The 20,413-nt window shown below is 41.9% G+C and overlaps 1 protein-coding gene across 9 annotated transcripts in view; it reads right to left on the minus strand.

The window, feature by feature from the left end:
* The window catches only part of GALNT14 (polypeptide N-acetylgalactosaminyltransferase 14), a 251,659-nt gene that overhangs the window by 196,605 nt on the left and 34,641 nt on the right, over window positions 1-20,413 (minus strand). The window lies entirely within an intron of this gene.

Raw genomic sequence — 20,413 nt, forward strand, 5'->3', positions numbered from 1 at the left:
TGAAAGGAATGTAGTGAATCGATAATCATTAACGAGCTGTCTGGTCTAATCATTTCCTCCCATTCGTTCCAGTTAATAAGAAAACAGAACAAGGAGGGAAGAGGAGGAGGGTGAGGAAGCAGGATCTGGCCGTGTCTGGGTTCACTGAGTTTCAGCTGAGCTCAAAGGTCCCATCCTTCACCCAGTTTTAACCTCCACCCTATGCCCCACTGCGTGAGTCTGGCACAAGGCAAGCACTCAATCTATATGCACAGTATCTGAGAAAGTTGATCAGTGGGATTGGGATCAGATCTGCTGCCTCCTTGGACGTGTCTTTGTGGAAAGGTGTAGGTGCCTGGCTAGGAATGACTGTGACGAAGCCATGGTTCAGTGGGCAGGCACTGCTGCCCTGTGCTAGGCAGCCCAAGGTCCAAGTCCTTCCCTATGTGTGATCTGAGGACAGGGCAGTTACACAACCTTGCACCTACTCCCGCTCATGCTGCTGCTGCTGAGTCTCAAAACAGCCAAAGCAAGGAGAAGCCGGAGAAGTCCTGGTGAAAGGCTGTGTGGTTGGTGAGCTGCCGGGGATCTCGCGGTTTTCTCAGGGATTTATGGGTGGATTTAGGAACATGATATCTAGAGGTTGCTTGTATATAGCCCAGTAGGGGAGAAAGAGCGCTGGATTCAAAGTCAGAACCTGGATGTTTATCTCAGCTCAGCCACTCCACAAATGCAGCTCAGCTAACACATACTGAACAAGCATCGGGACTGGCCACTGTGTGGGATACTTCCTCCAATTTTATCCTTTTATCCTCAACACAACCGATTATTATGCCCCATTTTATTGATAAGGAAACGGTCTCAGAGAGGTGGAAACTGAGGCTAAGAGAGGTAAGCCTGGTCAAGACAACATACTACATACGTGGTTTAGCGTGTTGGCTGAAGCTCAAAGAGGTAATGCTGGAATCTTGAAGACATGGGTCAGGACAGGTACTGGGAACATGTACTGAACTGATGATGGCTGATTCAAGGAACAAAGAATCTCAGGGCCAGAGGAAGAGCCTTCTTTGGACCAGGCAGCCAGCATGGCATGTAAAGCACGGCAGTTGATGTGTCTAGCTCCAGATGTTTATAAAAGACTTTAGTGCCCTGAGGTGATGCTCAGCTTGCCTGGGCCATGGAGTGGGGTATATTCTTGGAAACACTGCTAAGGGAAGCATGGGTGCAAACATGTCAAACAAGACTGGAATAATGGGTCTCTCTGCTCCTTGGTAGCTGAGCAGCCTAATGCAAGTCATTTAACCTCCCTGAACCTCAGTCGCTTCATCTAACCTGGCTCACCCACAGCTGGTGTGAAGATTAAAGGTAAAGTGTGTGGCCGAGTGCAGTGGCTTCACGCCTGTAATCCCAGCACTTTGGGAGGCCAAGGCAGGTGGATTGCCTGAGGTCAGGAGTTCGAGACCAGCCTAGCCAACATGGTGAAACCCCATCTCTACTAAAAATACAAAAATTAACCAGGCATGGTGGCATGCACCTGTAATCCCAGCTACTCAGGAGGCTGAGGCAGGAGAATTACTTGAACCTGGGAGGCAGAGGCTGCAGTGAGTGCCAAGATCGCACCATTGTACTCCAGCCAGGGTGACAGAACGAGACTCCATCTAAAAAAAAAAAAAAGTAACATGTGTGACACGCTTTGCACTGCATGGGACACAGTGTAGTACTCCGTGCAGGGGAACATCATTCAAGCACATTTGCTAAGCTGCCAGGTAAAGCCAAATGAAAGCTATCTGACTCCCCCATTAGTGGCATTTAACCATGCCAGACTAATTTGCCTAACTAGAAATCTGACTCGAAATCTCCATGCCCCACTCCCTCATCTTCCAGGCATTCGGAAAGGCAGGCTTGGATCTCCTTGGCACATTTACTACCAGGGACATCGGGGTACCCCAGAGCTATCAGGACAATGAGAAGGGCCTCCAGAGAGAGGGAGGGGCTCGTGCTAAAGCATGACCTTCAGGGCCTCCAAAAGATGCTCCCAAGAATGGCTGCAGAAGAGTTCAACTCCAAGTCGATGACAACAAGGGAAGGTTAATCACAGGGAGGCACAGGGCCACAGGGCAGGAGGCACATGGAGTAGGCAGGGAAGTCAGCTTCTGCTGCAACCTGGCCTGGGCACTGATGTGCTCCATGCCACGGCACCTGGGAAAACTCAGTCCCAGACTGACTTCCACCACCTCTATCACCCAGTCCCCTTCTCCTCCGGTATCTCCCTCCACCCTCAGGGGCTCATGAGAAGTCTCTTCATTTCCTTTTGCTGCACTGCGGGGACCCCTCAGCTCCTCTGTGCTTTCTTGAACTGATGATCAGTTATTTTCCACATGTGACACGTGCTCTGCCACTATCACCTCCTGTATTAGTCCATTTTCATACTGCTATGAAGAAATACCAGACACTGGTAATTTATAAAGAGAAAGGTTTGCTGGACTCACAGTTCCACATGGCTGGGGAGGCCTCACAATCATGCAGAAGGCAAAGGAGGAGCAAGGACAGGACTTACATGGCGACAGGCAAGGGAGCGTTTGCAGGGGAACTAACTGCCCCTTATCATACCATCAGATCTCATGAGACTTACTCGCTATCACAAGAACAGCACCGGAAAACCTGACCCCAAGATTCAATTACCTCCCACCAGGTCCCTCCTATGACATGTGGGGATTATGGGAGCTACAATTTAAGATGAGATTTGGGTGGGGACAAAGCCAAGCCATATCATTTCCCCACCCTGGCCATTAGGCCTTCACTACATCCTAGGACCTCTGGACTTGGGCCACACACTACTCTGGACTAAACCTTGGTCTTCAGGCACATAGAGTTGCTAGCACTCAACTTGCGGCTACCCTCTAAGAAGTCACTGCCTTTAATTACACAAGTCAGCACAGGCCCCCAGCCTTGGGACTGCCCTACTGAGCAGGTCCCTGCAGTGCCTGGTCTCAGCCATGCTCCTCATCACCAGGCTGTATAGCTTATAGCTCCCTGGGCCCCTAACCTTTTCCTTTCCCTCCCGTGCCAGGCATTTTTACTGCAGAAGAATGTGACCTTGAGCAAGTAACTTCATCCCTCTGGATCTCGGTTTTCACAAACATAAAGATAGAAGTCATATGAATGATGTTAGCAGTTTTTCAGCCTTTCAGTGTGAAAAAAAAAAACCATAAAAGGGTATACTTTTACATACATTAACTAAGAAAACGCATGAAGATGAAGAGGCCCTGTGAACTTAGTAATATCTTCAAATAAATCTATATTTTATTTATTACAACCCCATCATTTGAAAAGTAGAACACATATGAGTGAGATTTATTATTTAGTCCTCCCGTACCTAAGGAATGGTTGGTGCACTACGGACTCTTGGACCCAGGGTAATAATTCCACCACTCCCTCATGGGTTCACAGCCTGCAGATTGGCGAACAGCAGACTAGACAACCTCCAAGGGTCTTTCAAGGTCATAAATTCTACAAAGACTTACCAAGCACCTGCTAGGATGGATACATTCTAATTAGGGAGACAGATAAACTCCAAGAGAACAAATTTTAAAGCAAGCACTTAATTATGGTAACTGGTAAAAACCCAAGACCAAACTAAAAAATGAGGCAGCATGGGGGAATGTGGCCTTTTAGATAGAATGGTAGAAGGCTTCTCTGGGATAGTAACATTTGACCATGTGACCCAGAAGATGATAAGGCACCAGCCATAAGAAAGGGATGGGTGGGGAGAAGAAGGCAAAGAGCATTCCAGGCAGAAGACACAACTTGACAAAGGCTCTCAGAAGGATGCCAGTGTGGGCTGTTGAATGACCTTTGTGGCTGAGGATGAAGACATAGGGGGCAAATTATAGAGGGGAAAAACAGCAATTCTGTCTGGAAGTATTAAGTTTAGGAGTATGCATGACATCCAAGTGGAAATGTTGACACAGCTGAATATAAGAGGAGGCTAAAATTCAGAGATAACTGTGAGAGAAATGCACATTTAGGAGTCAACAGAGAGAAGATATTCCAAATTCTGAAAAGTTAGGGGATCTACTGAGGGGAGGGCAGGGGACAGGAGGAGACAGGAAAGGAGAGGAGAAGAGAGGAGAGGAGAGGAGAAGAGAGGAGAGGAGAGGCGAGGAGAGGAAGACCTCTAGACCAAGTCCTTAGAAACAACACCACTGACTTGGGGAGAGAAGGAAAGAGGCTGGGAGAAGCCAGAGAAGAAAGAGGAAAACCAGGACCTGGTGAAGTAATCAAATCCAAAAGAGAAAGGAATTCAAGAAGGAGGGAGCAGCCAACCGTGTGGAATGCTATTGAGAGACAGAGAGGGTAAGATTCAGATGAAAGCACATCCATTGGATTTGGCAATACAGATGATGCTATAGACTGAAGGTTTGTGTCCCCTCCAAATCCGTATTTTGAAACCTAAACCCCAATGTGATGGCATTTGAAGGTACAGCCTCTGGGAGGTGATAAGGTCATTATGATGTACCCCTTATGGATGGATTAGTGCCTGTATAAAAAGAGACTCCAGAGAGCTCCCTCGCCCCTTTTCTGCAATGTGAGGACACAGCACAATGATAGCGGTCTATGAACCAGAGAGTGGACCTTTGACCAGATACAGAATCCACTGGCGCTTTGATCTAGGACTTCCCAGCCTCTAGAACTGTGAGAAATACATTTCTGTTGTTGATAATCCACCCAGTCTATGGTATTCTGTTATAGCAGCCCAAACAAACTCAGAGAAAAAAGAGGGGCACAGGTATAGCGATTGCGGCAGAGGCCACTGGAGTGGGATGAAGAGAGATTGAAGGGTAAGGAACATGATGGGGACATGATGTGTTGGCAACCGCTTCTAGAAGTCTGGCTATCAAGAGAAACAGAAAAAATGGGACACAAGATGGAAGAACAGGGTAGATTATTATTCAGCAAGTACTCTGTCTCCCTCAGTCTCCATGGGAGGAGTGTATGTCCCATCTCACTGATGTTAAGTTTGGCCAATGGGATGTGCAGATATGCCCTGAGTAGGACTTTGAAATGTGCTTGCCTGATTGGGCTTGGCGTCTCGTGGTCCTTCCTTTCTTTGTGAGAACATGTCTTGGGTAGCCTCTGGATGAAGGAGAATGAGCGATGTGTGGCACAGGCTTGGGACACAACCCACAACTTGGAGCCCAGCTTAGATCTGTGGAACTCTAACGAACCCACAAACCTGTAAGCAAAAACATATGCTAGTTGTATGCCACTAAGATGCTGTGGTTATTGGTTGTGCAGAATTATTGTGGATAAAGGTGACTAATACAAGGGAAAATATGCAGTCGGGTGGGGTTATGTTTAGGATGGGTGATGCTAGATTATGTGTATATACTAATGGGAATGATGTACTGAGATGAAAGAGGATTTGGCTGCCTGAAAGGGATGAGACAGCTTTGGCAGGGCGATGCCCATGAGAATAACAAGAGGGGATAAGATCCTGAAGATTAGCGGAGGGGCTGGCTTTAGATAAGAGGAGGGCTGCATCCTCCATTCTAGCAAGAGGGGAAACAGCAGATGCAGATACAAGAAGGTTTAAAGGTTTGGTCAGGAAAGATGAGCAGCTTAGATGGGATGACTAATTTCTCAATGAATGATGAAGCACGACCATCAGTGGAGAATGTCTTTAGCCTGGGGAGGAGGTGTCTTGTTGCCTGCTGTTTGCCTTTCCTTAAATGTCTTTCTAATTTTCTCTGTAGATCTAAACTCTAAGCCCCTCCTTCTCCTTGAAATCCTAGCCTACCATGACCCTTCTCCTTCCTATAGCATTTGCAATCTCAACTCGAGTGGGACATCTGATTAGCTCGTCTCATTGTTTGAAGTAGGATTTAGGCATGCTTTCCCTTCTGCTGAACTTGAGCTTGATGAGACATTCGGATCACGTTTGCTTCTTTTGAGTCCCCCACAGTACCAATGACATAGTGATGGTCATGCTGAGGAGGCTTAATAATTACTTGTTAACTGGCTCAAGAAGAAAAAGTATGTGATTGTTACTGTTTCCTCTTATAGACTAGCTGACTTGGGCCACAGAAAATCAGGGAAGACCAGCTGCTAAGGGGTTAGCCAGCAGAACTATTGTTTCTGGAGACGGACACGTTTTCTGGTTTGGATTTATTTTTTTTTCTCACTTCTTATGCCAACTTCCCTGAAGCTTGGTCCGTTTTCTTCACTGCTTCAAGAATTCTTTCATCAATCCTGCCGTGGACATACTGACATCTTTCCTGAGAAAGCAGAGGGTTATTTTCTAGATGTTCTTTAATGCCATTGCTTAGAGGGCTTTCTGTTTTATTTTTAATGAAACAAAAAGCACCAGATCTGACAGGTAATGCTAGGGAGCCCATATTTCGTGCAAGGGATCCCAGAAATACCAAGCAGCTGGCGTGCTAGTTCCAAAGCTACCATGCAGACCTTGTTTATACCTGAAAGACAGCAGAGGGAGCTTGTTCTCAAAGGCCTCCCCAGCCTCAGTCAAACTGGCTGAATGGACCTTAGAGTCTCAGTCTGACAGTTTCACAAGGTTCTGTGTGCCACCTTCAACACTCATCCAAGTTACATGCAGAGGAAACAGAGCTGATCCAGAGAACTCCATTGCCTGGCAACTGGGACACCATGGACTAACTTGTAAGGCAAGGGTGGGTGTCCACTCCTCCATCCCCTCAAGGGCTCCGATCCACCCTCCCAAGTTCCCATCATTTCCAGACACCAAAAGTATCAGGCCAACCCACCCCTCCTCCACTGATGGAGCAAAGTGTCCCTCAAGAAGGCCCCCAGTTCACAGCCAGGCTGGGTGAGGGCCCCCTCTTCTGAGATCCCCAGACCACCCTACTCTCACCTTCTAGCCAAGCTCTGACGATAACACTAGGTACTTCCCCCACTGCACTCAGAGCTCCCTGGGACTGGAGCTGCATCTGATTCACCTGTATTTCCTTCTCTAGCCAGGCACACGTGGATGGCCAATGAATGGCTTCTTAGACGTTAACAGCACAGGTAGGCAGCGCATCTGACGCACCTGGAGAAAGCTCCAGCTCTGCTTGCACTGCCTAAGGCAGTCCCTTCATCTTTTTTTTTTTTTTTTTTTTTTTTTTTGACAGAGTTTCACTCTTGTTGCCCAGGCTGGAGTGCAATGATGTGGTCTCGACTCACTATAGCCTCCGCCTTCTGGGTTCAAGTCATTCTCCTGCCTCAGCCTTCCAAGGAGCTGGGATTACAGGCTCATACCTGGCTAATTTTTGTATTTTTAGTAGAGACGGGGTTTCGCCATGTTGGCCAGGCTGGTCTCGAACTCCTGACCTCAGGTGATCCACCCGCTTCGGCCTCCCAAAGTGCTGGGATTACAGGCATGAGCCACCACATCCCTAAAGATGAAGGGAAGGCAGTCCCTTCATCTTTAAGGGACTTTTTCCTCATCTGTGAAGAGAACATTAAAAATATCTACTTCACTGGCACTGTGAGAAGTAAGTAATGCACATTTTATAAACTGGCGAGTGTTTTACAAAGTGAGTACTAATTCACACTTAAGTTTTAGAGGCTGTATTACCTCCCTCAAAAATATTTTCACTTTTAAACCGACCCTCTGATGTGTCCTTTTCCTCTTTTATGAAGGACAATGCCTTCCTCCTTCAGCAGTGAAGGTATTTCAGGCATGAGTGAAAGAAACTGGGTTTGCTTTGACTGGGGGAGGTAATCAGGACCCTAAACGACAGAATATGGACCAGAAATCAGTAAACTATGGCCTGAGGCCCAAATCCTACCCACCCCCCATTTCTGCAGGACAGGGGAGCTAGAAGGGCTTTTGCATTTTTAAATGGTTGAAAAAAAGTCAAAAGGAGAATATTTTGTGATACATAAAAATTATATGAAATTCAATTTACAGTATCTATAAATAAAGTTTTATTGGAACACACCATGCTCATTTGTTTACATATCATCTGTGGATGCTTTTGTGCCACACCAGGAGAGCTGAGTGGTTGTGACAGAGACCATAAGGCCTGTAAAGCTACAAATATTTACTAATTAGTTTTTTAACAGAAAAGTTTGCCAACTCCTGATAGAGATCATCTCTGTACTTGCCCCAAGGCCACTCCTGTGAAAGGATCTAGAATGAGTCAAGATTTTATTCTGGGAATTCTATTTTAGTCCATCCAGGCTGCTATAACAAAATACTATAAACTAGGTGGCTTACAAATAACAAATTTATTTATCACAGTTCTGGAACCTGAAAAGTCCTAGATCAAAGCACCAGCAGATTCAGTGTGTGGTGAGGGTTTGCTCTCTGATTCACAGACAGCCATCTTCTCGCTGTTGCCTAACAGGGTGGAAGGGATAAGGGAGCCCTCTGGGGTCTTGTGATGGTTAATACTTAGTGTCAGTCAACCTGATTGGATTGAAGGATCCAAAGTATTGTTCCTGGGTGTGTCTGTGAGGGTGTTGCCAAGGAGATGAACATTTGAGTCAATGCACTGGGTGAGGCAGACCCACCCTCAATGTGGGTGGGCACCATCCAATCAGCTGCCAGTGCGGCTAGAATAAACCAGGCAGAAGAAGGTGGAAGGAGCCAACTTCATGAGTCTTCCACCCTTCATCTTTCTGCCGTGCTGGATGCTTCCTGCCCTCAAACATCAGACTCTAAGTTCTTCAGCTTTTGAACTCTTGGACTTACACCAGTGGTTCGCCTGGAGCTCTCAGGACTTTGGCCATAGACTGAAGCTTGCACCGTTGGCTTCCCTACTTTTGAGGTTTTGAGACTTAGACTGGCTTCTTTGCTCCTCAGCTTGCAGACAGTCTATTGTGGGACCTCACCTTGTGATCATGTGAGCCAATTTTCCTTAATAAACTCCCCTTCATATATATATATATATATATCTCCTATTAGTTCTGTCCCTTTAGAGAACCCTGACTAATACAGATCTCTTTTATAAAGGCACTAATCTATTCATGAGGGTCCCACCCTCATGACTCATCACCTACCAGAGGCCTTACCTCCTAAATCATCACAGTTGGGGTTAAGTTCATTATAATAATTTTGTGGAGACACAAATATTCAATCTACAGCAGAGGGATATAGACAAAACAGATCATATTCTGAAGAACAACCAGGAACATGCTGAGACTCAGACATGTGTCACGGGAAGAATGGTCAATAATTTCAGGGTGTCTTCAATTATCCAAACACCTGTCATGAAGAAAGGAGATAAGGCTCCCTCTCCATGGCTTCAAAAAGTCAACCTGGGACTGGAGACCCATTTCAGTCAATATAAAAAATCATCTTCAGCTGTCTGAGCTGTTTCAGGGGATGAGTTCCCTGTCATTACATGTATTCACAGAAAAACAAATGTACAGTGTAGTGAATATACAATGTAGTGATCAATGCAAGATGACCATTGGGTCACTAACATGGGTACCCTTTCATTAGGTTGGTGCAAAAGTAATTGTGGTTTGGGCCATTACTTTTAATGGCAAAAATTGCAATTACTTTTGCATCAACCTAATAGATTGCCCATTTTGCAAAGACCTCCTTAACTACACCATGAAAATCCACAAGGGTAGGCTCCTGGATGCTATGTTTGTACAATATGATTCTAACACAGTTTACTGAACCAGAAGTGGCTCCTGTCTGAGGTTCGTTCCATCAGGGTCCTTTACCTAAGAACTTGAGAGCAGATCAGGGTGAGAATGAGAGAGAGGACAGGGTGCTATGTGTACGGCTGAAAGTGTAATATCTCTGCCCACCATGTGGGATCAGGAGCAGGGAAAGCTGGCTTACTAGGAAAGAAGCATAAAGCAGATTTATGGAGAGAAGGAGAGAGATGGGATGGAGAAAGAGTTAGTCCTGGGCTCCCAACAGCCTTGCAGTCCCTGGCTCCAAACTCTTCATGAGGTCTGGTTTCCATGATCAAACTTCTGGGTTACTACAGATTAGTCTCATTTTGCAGAAGCTAGCTTGAGATGGATTCTCTTACAGCTTAAAGAACTTGAAGTAATGTCATTATGGTGGAACAAGACTCAGATCTTGACAACCTGGCCAGTGTCCTCAGTCTCTTCCAGCCTTGGGAATCTAAGGTTCTATTAGCCATCTAGAGGAGAGGCCATGTCCCCTTGAGAGGCAGTGTCTGGGGAGCCTGGGACTAAACATCCACAGCACAGACCACAGGCATGGCATGTCAACTTGCACACATCGCACTTGCTTCTCTCCTCTTTAGGAAGATAACTTGAATCTATCACGCCACTCTGTTGTGAAAAATAATGAATAGCACCGTTAACAAATGACAAGTGCTACATTTCTTATTATTATCTATCATGTATACATCACTTTATTTCTGTAGCATCCAGCAGGTGTTGAATGCAAATGGACTGAAAGCACTTTTGCAGACTTGCAATCTCCTATTAAGAAAAACATTTGTGAGCATGGAACAGTGGAGCCGTCAGGCTCTTCCAAGTCCTACACTGAAGTACCCCAAGCAGGACCTGAGAGGTCCTTCTCAATCATGCTGATTCACTGGAAAGCCATTAAATCCAAGTGATTCACATTTACTTTAGTGCAATAAGATCTACCCTAGCTCCAAGCTTTGACCCTGTCAGGCCTCTGACCCCAAGCTAAGCCATCACATGCCCTGCGACCTGCACGTATACATCCAGATGGCCTGAAGCAACTGAAGATCCACAAAAGAAGTGAAAATAGCCTTAACTGATGACATTCCACCATTGTGATTTGTTTCTGCCCCACCCTAACAGATCAATGTACTTTGTAATCTCCCCAACCCTTAAGAAGGTTCTTTGTAATCTCCCCCATCCTTAAGAAGGTTCTTTGTAATTCTCCCCACCCTTGAGAATGTACTTTGTGAGATCCATCCCCTGCCCACAAAACATTGTTCCTAACTCCACTGCCTATCCCAAAACCTATAAGAACTAATGATAATCCCACCCTTTGCTGACTCTCTTTTTGGACTTAGTCCACCAGCACCCAGGTGATTAAAAAGCTTTATTGCTCACGCAAAGCCTGTTTGGTGGTCTCTTCACTTGGACATGCATGACAGACCCGATGCCATTTGGAGGCCATAACTGTTTGTGTGATCAGAGAACCACAGGAAACAGACATGGGCAATATGTGGCCAGAGGCTCTTGATCACTCTTTTTGCTCCAGCAATAGGATAGCCTTGGGCCTCCTTTGATCCAGTTTATTCCACATGCCAGACTTCACCACTAGCCAAGTGTTGCTCAGCTTCTTCTCTCCTCTCCCCATTTTGCACATAGAGAATGGAAATACACTATTAAGTAATTTCCCAAAGAACATGAGGCTGGTCTTGAGATTGGAAGGCATAGGCTGTTTCTGGCCCATACAGACACTCACTGTAAGGTGAATACCAGATGAGGGGCAGGGAATAGAGTAGGAGAAACTGAGCTCTGGACCCATTGCTGCCCCAATGATATTGGGATCCAGGCAAGTCATCTCCCTTCCCTGGCCACAGTAACTCCTCTATCCAATGAACAGATTGGACCAGGAGCCAGGTCACAGCCACAAGATAGGAATATCAAGATCAAAATCAGGAAGAGGCTAGGAGTTGACACCCAAGAATAACCACAAAAATGTCAAGTCTGGAGTGAAGTCAATGAACATATTCTAGCTGAGCACTAAGAGTACCAGTGATGAGCTGAGTTAAAGAGGTACCAGAAGCAGAGTCAAGTCATGGAAACAACAGTGGGAGTGGAAAAAGTAAAACAGGGGGCAACAACCCAGAGAAGACAACACAGAGGTGAATTAATCTTGATAGAGATTTGTTGTTGGATATCTTAATGTCACTAACACAAAGACAACATGGGGTGACCAGCAGGATCCCACCCAGCCCTCATAGTCTACAAATTTCAACCTTGCTCCAGTTGTGCTACCAAATGTGCATCAGCCCTGACAAAGGAGCAATTGCAAGCTAAGTATCTGACATAGCGTGGGTTCTGTATTAAGCCACTTTTTTCCCACTCAGTAATAACTGGACACACAAGAAATCATCCCCCAAAGGGTCATATGCCAGTCTCCATCTCCATTTAATAAGAGCAATCCCTGTCTTGACTTTCTACTTTTTACTTGCCCCTAAGATGTTCTTGGGTCCTAAAAAAAAGTCACTTCCTACTCATCAGGACACTAGATCACTGAAAAAGAAATTTTGAAGCTTTTGACCCTCCATGAGGGTAGTGCAGGCTGGCTACAGAGAGAAGAAAATTTATTTCCAAGGCCAGCTATTTGATGTCCTAATCTTTCCCAGGCTATTCCCATAGAATGGTTATTGAATATATTATATTCAACAAATCAACTACTTTCCCTATAAAAAGTTCTCGTAGTAGCTGTAAGACATATGACAAGAAAAGTCTCTCTGTGTGCCTAGTTTTCTCATTTGTAAAATCTGAGAAATGGTACCTATATTAGTTTTCCATCACTACTATAGCAAATCACCTCAAACTTGGTAGCTTAAAGCAAGACATATTTATTATCCTGCCTAGATTAGGCCCATATCCAATATGGGCCTCCCTGAGCTAAAATCAAGGTGTCAGCAAGGGTGCGTTCCTTCTAGAGGCTCTTAGGAGAGATTCTGTTTCCTTCTCTTTTCCACCTTCTAGGTTCACCCATATTCCTTGGCTCATGGCCTCTTTTCTTCATCTCCATCTTCAAAGCCAGCAACAATGGATCGAGTCACTCTAACATGGAATCACTCTGACTTCCTCTTCTGCCTCCTCCTTCCACTTTTAAGGACTCTTGTGATTACATCAGACTCACCTGGGTAGTCCAAGATACTCTCCTTATTTTAAGATCAGCTAACTAGCAACTTAATTTCACCTGCAACCTTAACTTCCTCTTGTCATGTAACCTACCATATTCAGTTTCTGAGAATTAGGATGTGCACAACTTTGGGGGCACATTATTCTGCCTATTACAGTATATGTCTTCTCACAGTGGCTAGGAAAAATTTTCCCCTACTAGCTAAGCATATGGCCCTGGCTAAGTCTCTTGTCACTTCAGTTTCCTCCTATGAAGTTGAGGGCTTTAATCTAAGACAGTCTTTAAGATGTATAAGTTTATGAGGATAAAACAGAGTCATTAAAAGATGAGCCTCTGTCTTGTGCATTACAGTCTTCAAAGCACTTGTCCATGCCTTGTCTCATTTGATCCCTGCACCAATCCTGAGAAATATATAGGGAAGATGCTACCATTATCTTTGCTTTGTAGAAGTGTAACCTGACAATAAGAAGGTAAATCATGTGTCCACGACCACACAATTAAAACATCACAGTCCTGGTTTAATATTGGAGTCTTCTGATAATACATGCCCTAAATGAAAACCTTTTCTGAATACCTTGGAAATGTATATATGAGGAAGATGGTAACCACCAACACACTACCACCAGCACCACCACCACCATCCAACCACATCACAACTCATCTAAGTGAAGAGGCACAGCAATGGCAGATGATCCCTGAAGATAACTCAGGAATCCAGGTCCCCACTTTACTTTGGATTCCCATCCTCTAATCGCGTCCCATTAAAAGTGCCTTCCTACAACCATATTCTTCCTTCCTTGCTTTGAGACCACACATGATTAGCATAGTGCTGGTTCTAAATCAAAGAAAAACAGTCATGAGCCTCTAGCTGGGGAAGAGGGAGAGGGTCTCTGTATAGTAGCCAGTGGTCTCAAGGCAATCCTGCTTATGTGAGATAGGATAACTAGATACAGTGATGGAATCTTCTTCCCATCCTCCTGAGTTCAGTTCAGTATAAAGGAAAATACAAAAATGGTGAAGACATTTTCTAGGAAACAAGGAAGGAGAAAAGAGCTAAAGGAGATTACTTGAAAGTCTTTGAGGCACAGTGGACATTTGTTATCTTTTGGTTCCTAGCATCCATTGCTACATTTCATTGCCTTTTGGGGAATAATCCCTCTCCCCACTCTCAGACCATGTGCTTGCTCCATCCTGCACTCTCCACTCCAAGGGCAGAGAATTAACTCTTTCCACAAGTATTTATTGAGCACCTAAGATGTGCTCTAGGCATGTGAGATATGAAGGCAAGGCAGACAAGGCCCCTGCAGTCATCGAGCACCCAAATAAACAAACAAGCAAAAAAAAAAAAAATTGAATGAAATACTTTTGAGAGTGTTATGGCCTATAAGAAAATAAAATAGGGTTTTTGTTACAGAGAAGGACCAGGGTATTATTATCTGGACTTTTCAGTTATGTTCACTAATTCTTATTTCGTTTAAGCCTATTTGGGTCACACTTCCTGTTGTTCACACCCAGCAGGCTTCCTGTATTGGATTCCTAACACAGGTGGCCCTCACTCCCCTGATGCTGAAGATCCCTGTCCTGTTTGTAGAGCAAGACTGTACTGACTGGCCAAGACTTTTGTGTCATGGGAAATGAACAGATGGGAAAGAACCCAGAACTGGCACTCAGAACCTCAGCTTCTAGTTCAAGCTCAGCACTAACTAGCTGAGTACCTTCTACCCAGGCTGGAGTATTTACTAACTGCTGAAATGGGGATGTTTGCCTAGTTAATTTCCATGATCTGTTCCACCTCCACCATTTTGTGCCCTATGCTCTACTTGATCAGAACTTCTCAAATTTACATTATAATTGGGAACTGAGTAATCTCAAGCTGGCCTCAATCACATTCTACGTCTCTATTAAAAAGCTGCAAAACAAGCATTTAACACTTGATCCAGATCCATACATATTATCAGGGGAGATCCAAACTGCATACTCAGCAAATGTACTGCATTCTGCAAACAAACACTCCAGTGCCTAATAAAGGTTAGTGATTCAAGATAATGCTGATTTTACCTGCAAAACTCACTGTGGGCTCTAAGGAGTTCTGCCTCTATCCTTCATGGCTTATTAGCGGGGGAAAGCCTTTGGGCAATTTCACTGGGTTGGCATAGAAGCATTTATATACTTTTCTGTATGTGGAGGACAAGAGGATGTGCATCATCTTCTGACATGAATACCTCAGTGACTATGTCAGAATCCTATTAATATAATAATCCCTTTAAAAAATACATTTATGTGGTTCAAAATTAAAAAGGCATGCAATGAAACATTTCCCTTCTACCCTTGCCCATCCCCAGTTCATGTCACAACCCTTAAGGGAAACCATTGTTAGTCTGTTGTATTATCTTTCCAGAATTTCTTATACAAATAGATGTAAGTATAAATGCGGTTGACCCTTGAGCAGTGTGGGGGTTAGGGGAATCAATCTCCTGCTCAGTTGAAAATCTGCACATAACTTTTGACAAAACTTAACTACCGATAGCCTATTGTTCACCAGAAGACTTACCAATAACATAAACAGCCCATTAGCACATATTTTGTAATCATGTGTATGTGTTATATGTATTATATACTGTAGTCTTACAACTAGTAAGCTAGAGAAGAGAAAATGCTACTAAGAAAATCACAAGGAAGATAAAATATATTTACTATTCAGTAAGCGGAAGAGGATCATCATCAAGATCTTCATCCTCATCGTCACATACAGTAGGCTGAGGAGGAGGAGGAAGAGGAGGGGTTGGTCTTGCTGTGTCAGGGGTGGCAGAGGCACAAGAAAATCTGTATATAAGTGAATCTGCATAGTTCAAACCCATGTTGTTCTGAATTTATTCTAATTCTACAATGCCTCCACTTTTTATATATAAGTTAGTATAGAATACACACTATTGTGCAGCTTGCCCTTTTTTCTTCATTTTGCAATCTGATAGATAAAATATGCTATTCCTATATAGCTTTGAGTTTTGATGAGGTAATGTTAAGTACATCTTTTAACAAATTTAGGTCTATTCATATTTCTTTTTCTGTGCATTGCCCGTTTATATCCTTTGCCTATTATTTTCTATTGGATTGAAATTCATTTTTATTGACCCTTTGGAACTCTTTATTTAAGTTGATTAGGCCTTTGTCATGTGTCTTTTCAGTTTACTTATGTAGATTCTTTTTGCTACTTAGAAGATTTTTTTCCTTCAATTTTTATTTACTCAGTTATATCAGATTTTTATTTTATGGTTTCAAGATTTAAGTCTTGGTTAGAAAGGCACCCTGTGTGTTTCCTTCTGGTACTTTCATAGTCTTGCTTTTACCTTTACATTTCGTTTTCATTTGGAATCTTATCTTGGTGTATACATGGTGTGAGGTATGGATACAATTTTATTTTCACCCACAGGGCTACCAGATATCCCAGTGGAACATATTTAATCTTTTCCTTCAATGATTTAAGATGCTACCTTTGTCAAATACTAAATGATCATATGCATTTGGATCTATTTCTGGACTAACCACTTGGTTCCTTTTAACTATGTGTGCATGTCTCTGTAGCACACAGTTTCAATAAATGACACACTATAATAAATTCAATATCTAGTAGCGCCAGTCACCTCATATGGGTTTTTTCAGAATTTTTCTATTTTTATTTACCTTTTTATTTGAACTTTAAAACAAACTTAACTAGTTTTAGAAAATTATCTATTGATACTTTTATTTAGATTGTGTTTGATTTATAAATTAACTTAAATAGAATGATGTCTATTGTTTTTCCATCCATGAGCAATCTTTCCATTTGCTTCAGGATCCTTTTATATACTTTAGTAGTGTTTTTAAATCTTCATATAGACCCTGGATATTTTTTGTTTAAATTTATTATTAGTTCTTTTACATTTCTTGTTGTTATTGTAAGTGATGGCTCTTCCTCTAAAAATATACGGTAAGTCCTCACTTAACATCATTGATAGGTGGTTGGAAACTGTGACTTTAAGCACAATGATGTACAATAAGTCCTTGAATACCATTTCCTTCAACATCTTTTTGTTATAACTTTGATGAGAAAAAAACCAGTTTTGTTACATGTCATTTTGCTTAAAGTTGCAGTTTCCAAGAACCTATCCTCAATGTTGAGGACTTACTGTATTCTGTTTGGTGTTTGTATATGTGAAAAGTATTAATTTATGTTTACTAATTATTGCACATTGTTAGTTTATGGAATTCTTTTATTGTTTGAAACAGTTTTTCAGTTAATTATCTTTTGTTTTCTAGCCATGCAATCACAGCATCTTCATACAGCAACAACTGCCTCTTCCCTCTCTTTTTTACTGTTTTTGCTTGTCTAATTGCATTGGTAAGTATCACCTGTGCAATGAGGAGTAACAGTACTAATAGCATAGATCCTTGTTCTTTAGTGATAATTCCTTTAGTGTTTCCTCAATAAGCATAATGCTGGCTTATAGCCTGAGATGGATGTGTTTTAGCCTGTTAAAAAAAAAAAAATACCTGAACTATACAGATGCTCCTAGACTTATGGTAGAGTTACGTCCTGATAAACCCATAAGTTGAAAATATCATAAGCCAAAAATGCATTTAATCCACCTCACCTACTGAACATCATAACTTAGCCAAGACTACCTTAAGTGAGCTCAGGACACTTACATTAGCGTATGATTAGGCAAAATCATCTAACACAAACCCTATTTTATAATGGAGTGTTAAATATCTCCGATAATTTATTCACTACTGTACTGAAAGTGAAAAACAGAGTGGTTGCATGGGTACTCAAAGTATGGTTTCTATTGAAGGCATATTCTTTTTTTACCATAATAAAATCAAAAGATTGTATCAAAGCATCATGAGTCAGGGACCACCAGAATAACCTTAGCCAGTCAAGCTTTCTTGAGTGTATTTTTTAATTTTAAAATGATCATTGAAGTTTCTCAAAGCTCTTTTCAGTATCTATGAAGATAATATCTTTTTTCTCTTAATGTTCACTAATATAAAACCATATATGCATTCCAAGAATAAAACCCTCTTGATTATGATGGATTAGTCTTCAAATATACTGCTGAAATTATTTTGCTACTTTTTAAATGATCTTTGAATTGATATTCATAAGTGGGATTAGTCTTTGGATTTCCATGTGTGCCTACTTTGTCAGGTTTTGGTAAAAGTTATGCTTGTTTCTCTTCTTTTTCTATGCTCTAGAACAGAGTTCTATGCTCTGGACTAGTGCATTTTTCTTTGAAGAATGTATACCTATTTAAATTTTTTAAAAAAATTTCTGCCTTAGAAATTTTGGATTCCTTTCTGGGCCCATTTGGGTAATTTTTATTTTCTTGAAAAAAATCCACTTTTCAAACCTATTTGCATAGAGCTGAACAAAGTAGTCTCCTGATTCCTTTAGTTTCCTGTTTATGCCACTGTTCTCCACATATCATTCCTTATTGTATGCATCTGCACTTGCTCCCACATTTTCTTGATTAGATTAACTAGTAGTTTATTTTATTGTTGTTTTTTTCCCCATGATATGGTTTGGCTGTGTTCCCACCCAAATTTCATCTTGAATTTTAGTTCCCATAATCCCCACACATTGTGGGAGGGACCAAGTGGAGATAATTGAGTCATAGTGGTGGTTTCCCCCATGCTGCTGTTCTTGTGACAGTGAATTAGTTCTCATGAGAGCCGATGGTTTTATAAGGGGCTTCCCCATTCGCTGGGCACTCATACTTCTCCTTGCTGCTTCATGTGAAGAAGGACATGTTTGCTTCCCCTTCCCCCAAGATTGTAAGTTTCCTGAGGCCTTCCCAGCCATGCTGAACTGTGAGTCAATTAAACCTCTTTCCTTTATAAATTAGTCTTGAGTATGTCTTTACTAGCAGCATGAAAATGGACTAATACACCCCCAAACCAGCTTTGAAATTTATTTTAACTGCTTTGTTTTCTAACTCATTAATCTCTTTTATTTATTTTTTTCTGCTTTCCTTCTGCAATATTTCATTTTATTCTGATATAGCTTCTTGACTTAGATGATTAATTCATGTTTGATCATTCTTTTGTGTATATATTTAAGCCATCAGTTTTCCTCTGAGTACTGCTTTAGCTATATAACATTTGTTCTGCTATTGAGTGATTTCATTAATTGTTTTCCAGAAAATCTGCAATTTCAGTTTTTCTTTTCCTCTTTCAGCCATGCATTGAGTATTTTTTGTTTTGTTTGGATTTTACTTTCAGTTAAATGGGCTTTTGGTTTTATGATTTAGTATTAATTTCCAGTTTAATTGCACTGTAATCAGAGAATATTGTATTTTTTCTACCTTTTGGGATTTATTGAGGTTATCTATGTTCCCTAATAGATGGTCAATATTTGTGAATGTTTCATAGACCCTTGAAAGATATATTTTCTTCATTTAATCTACAGGGTTTGCTATTTATCAACCAGATCTACTTTATTACCTATGTTAATTAGAGCTTCCATATTGATTTTTATTCTTTGTCTAGGTATCTGGAGACTGAGACATGTAAATTAAAGTGATCCGTTACCAGCGTGTTTTCGTCTATTTTCTCCTTGCATCTCCTAAAATTTCTGTGTTTTCAATACTGCTGTTTTTTTCATTGTGATATGTACCTTTTATACATAGTTCCTTTATCTTATTTAATGCATTTTAATCTGAATTCCACTTTGTCTAATGCAAGTTCATAACTACTACTTTTTATATCTCTATTTTAAATTAACATTTTAAAGCATTCGGCTGGTGTTCCTTCACTCATCCTTTTATTTTCAACCTTCCTGTATCACTTTCCTTTAGGGGCATCTCTATAAACAACTTAGAATTGGGTTGTGGTGTGCGATCCTTTCTGAAACTCTTCTTAAAAAGTAAGTTAAATTCATTTATATTTAGATATGACAAATAGGCTTATTCCTAGATCTCATTTTATATTATGTCTTCTGGGTTTCTTGGCATTATTTTCGTCTTTCTGTGATTGTTCTTCCAGTGTGATTCTTCTGGGAAGGTTTGTGTTTTTATTCTAGTGGTAACATTCGTAATTACAACATGATATAATAATCTTAACCTATGTCTCTAGACAAGACTTATTAACTCTACATTACAAGCAAAGATAAAGTTGGTGTATTCCCTTTCACTGTTCTTTCCACAGAAGCATAGAAAAGGCATGATTGGGGTGGAGAGAGAAAGAGACGTACATCCTGACAGCCAGTTGTGAAAGTGCACAGAGATGTTAACACAATGGCAGCTGCGTATAGAGAAGAAGGAAACACACACACACACACACATTACATAGCCCCTAGGCACAATTTACTCTGGCAATGCTACTGTCTCACTTCCACCAACTGATTTTAGTCAATAACATCCTCTTTCTAAGTGTCTACCATTTATTAAGTATAATTATGCTTATATTACTTCATTTGTCAGCTCTCAATTATACCTTTTTACTCCCTGCTATTATAGAATGAGGCATTCAGAGAACTTCCTTTTTCCCCCTTTGCCTTTCAATATTTGTTGGCTGTGTCATTTCTACATCACCAGGGCACAGAACACTTACATTCTCCTCTGTTCTTCTAAT

Source organism: Homo sapiens, chromosome 2, assembly GCF_000001405.40.
Source record: "Homo sapiens chromosome 2, GRCh38.p14 Primary Assembly".
Taxonomy (NCBI): domain Eukaryota; kingdom Metazoa; phylum Chordata; class Mammalia; order Primates; family Hominidae; genus Homo; species Homo sapiens.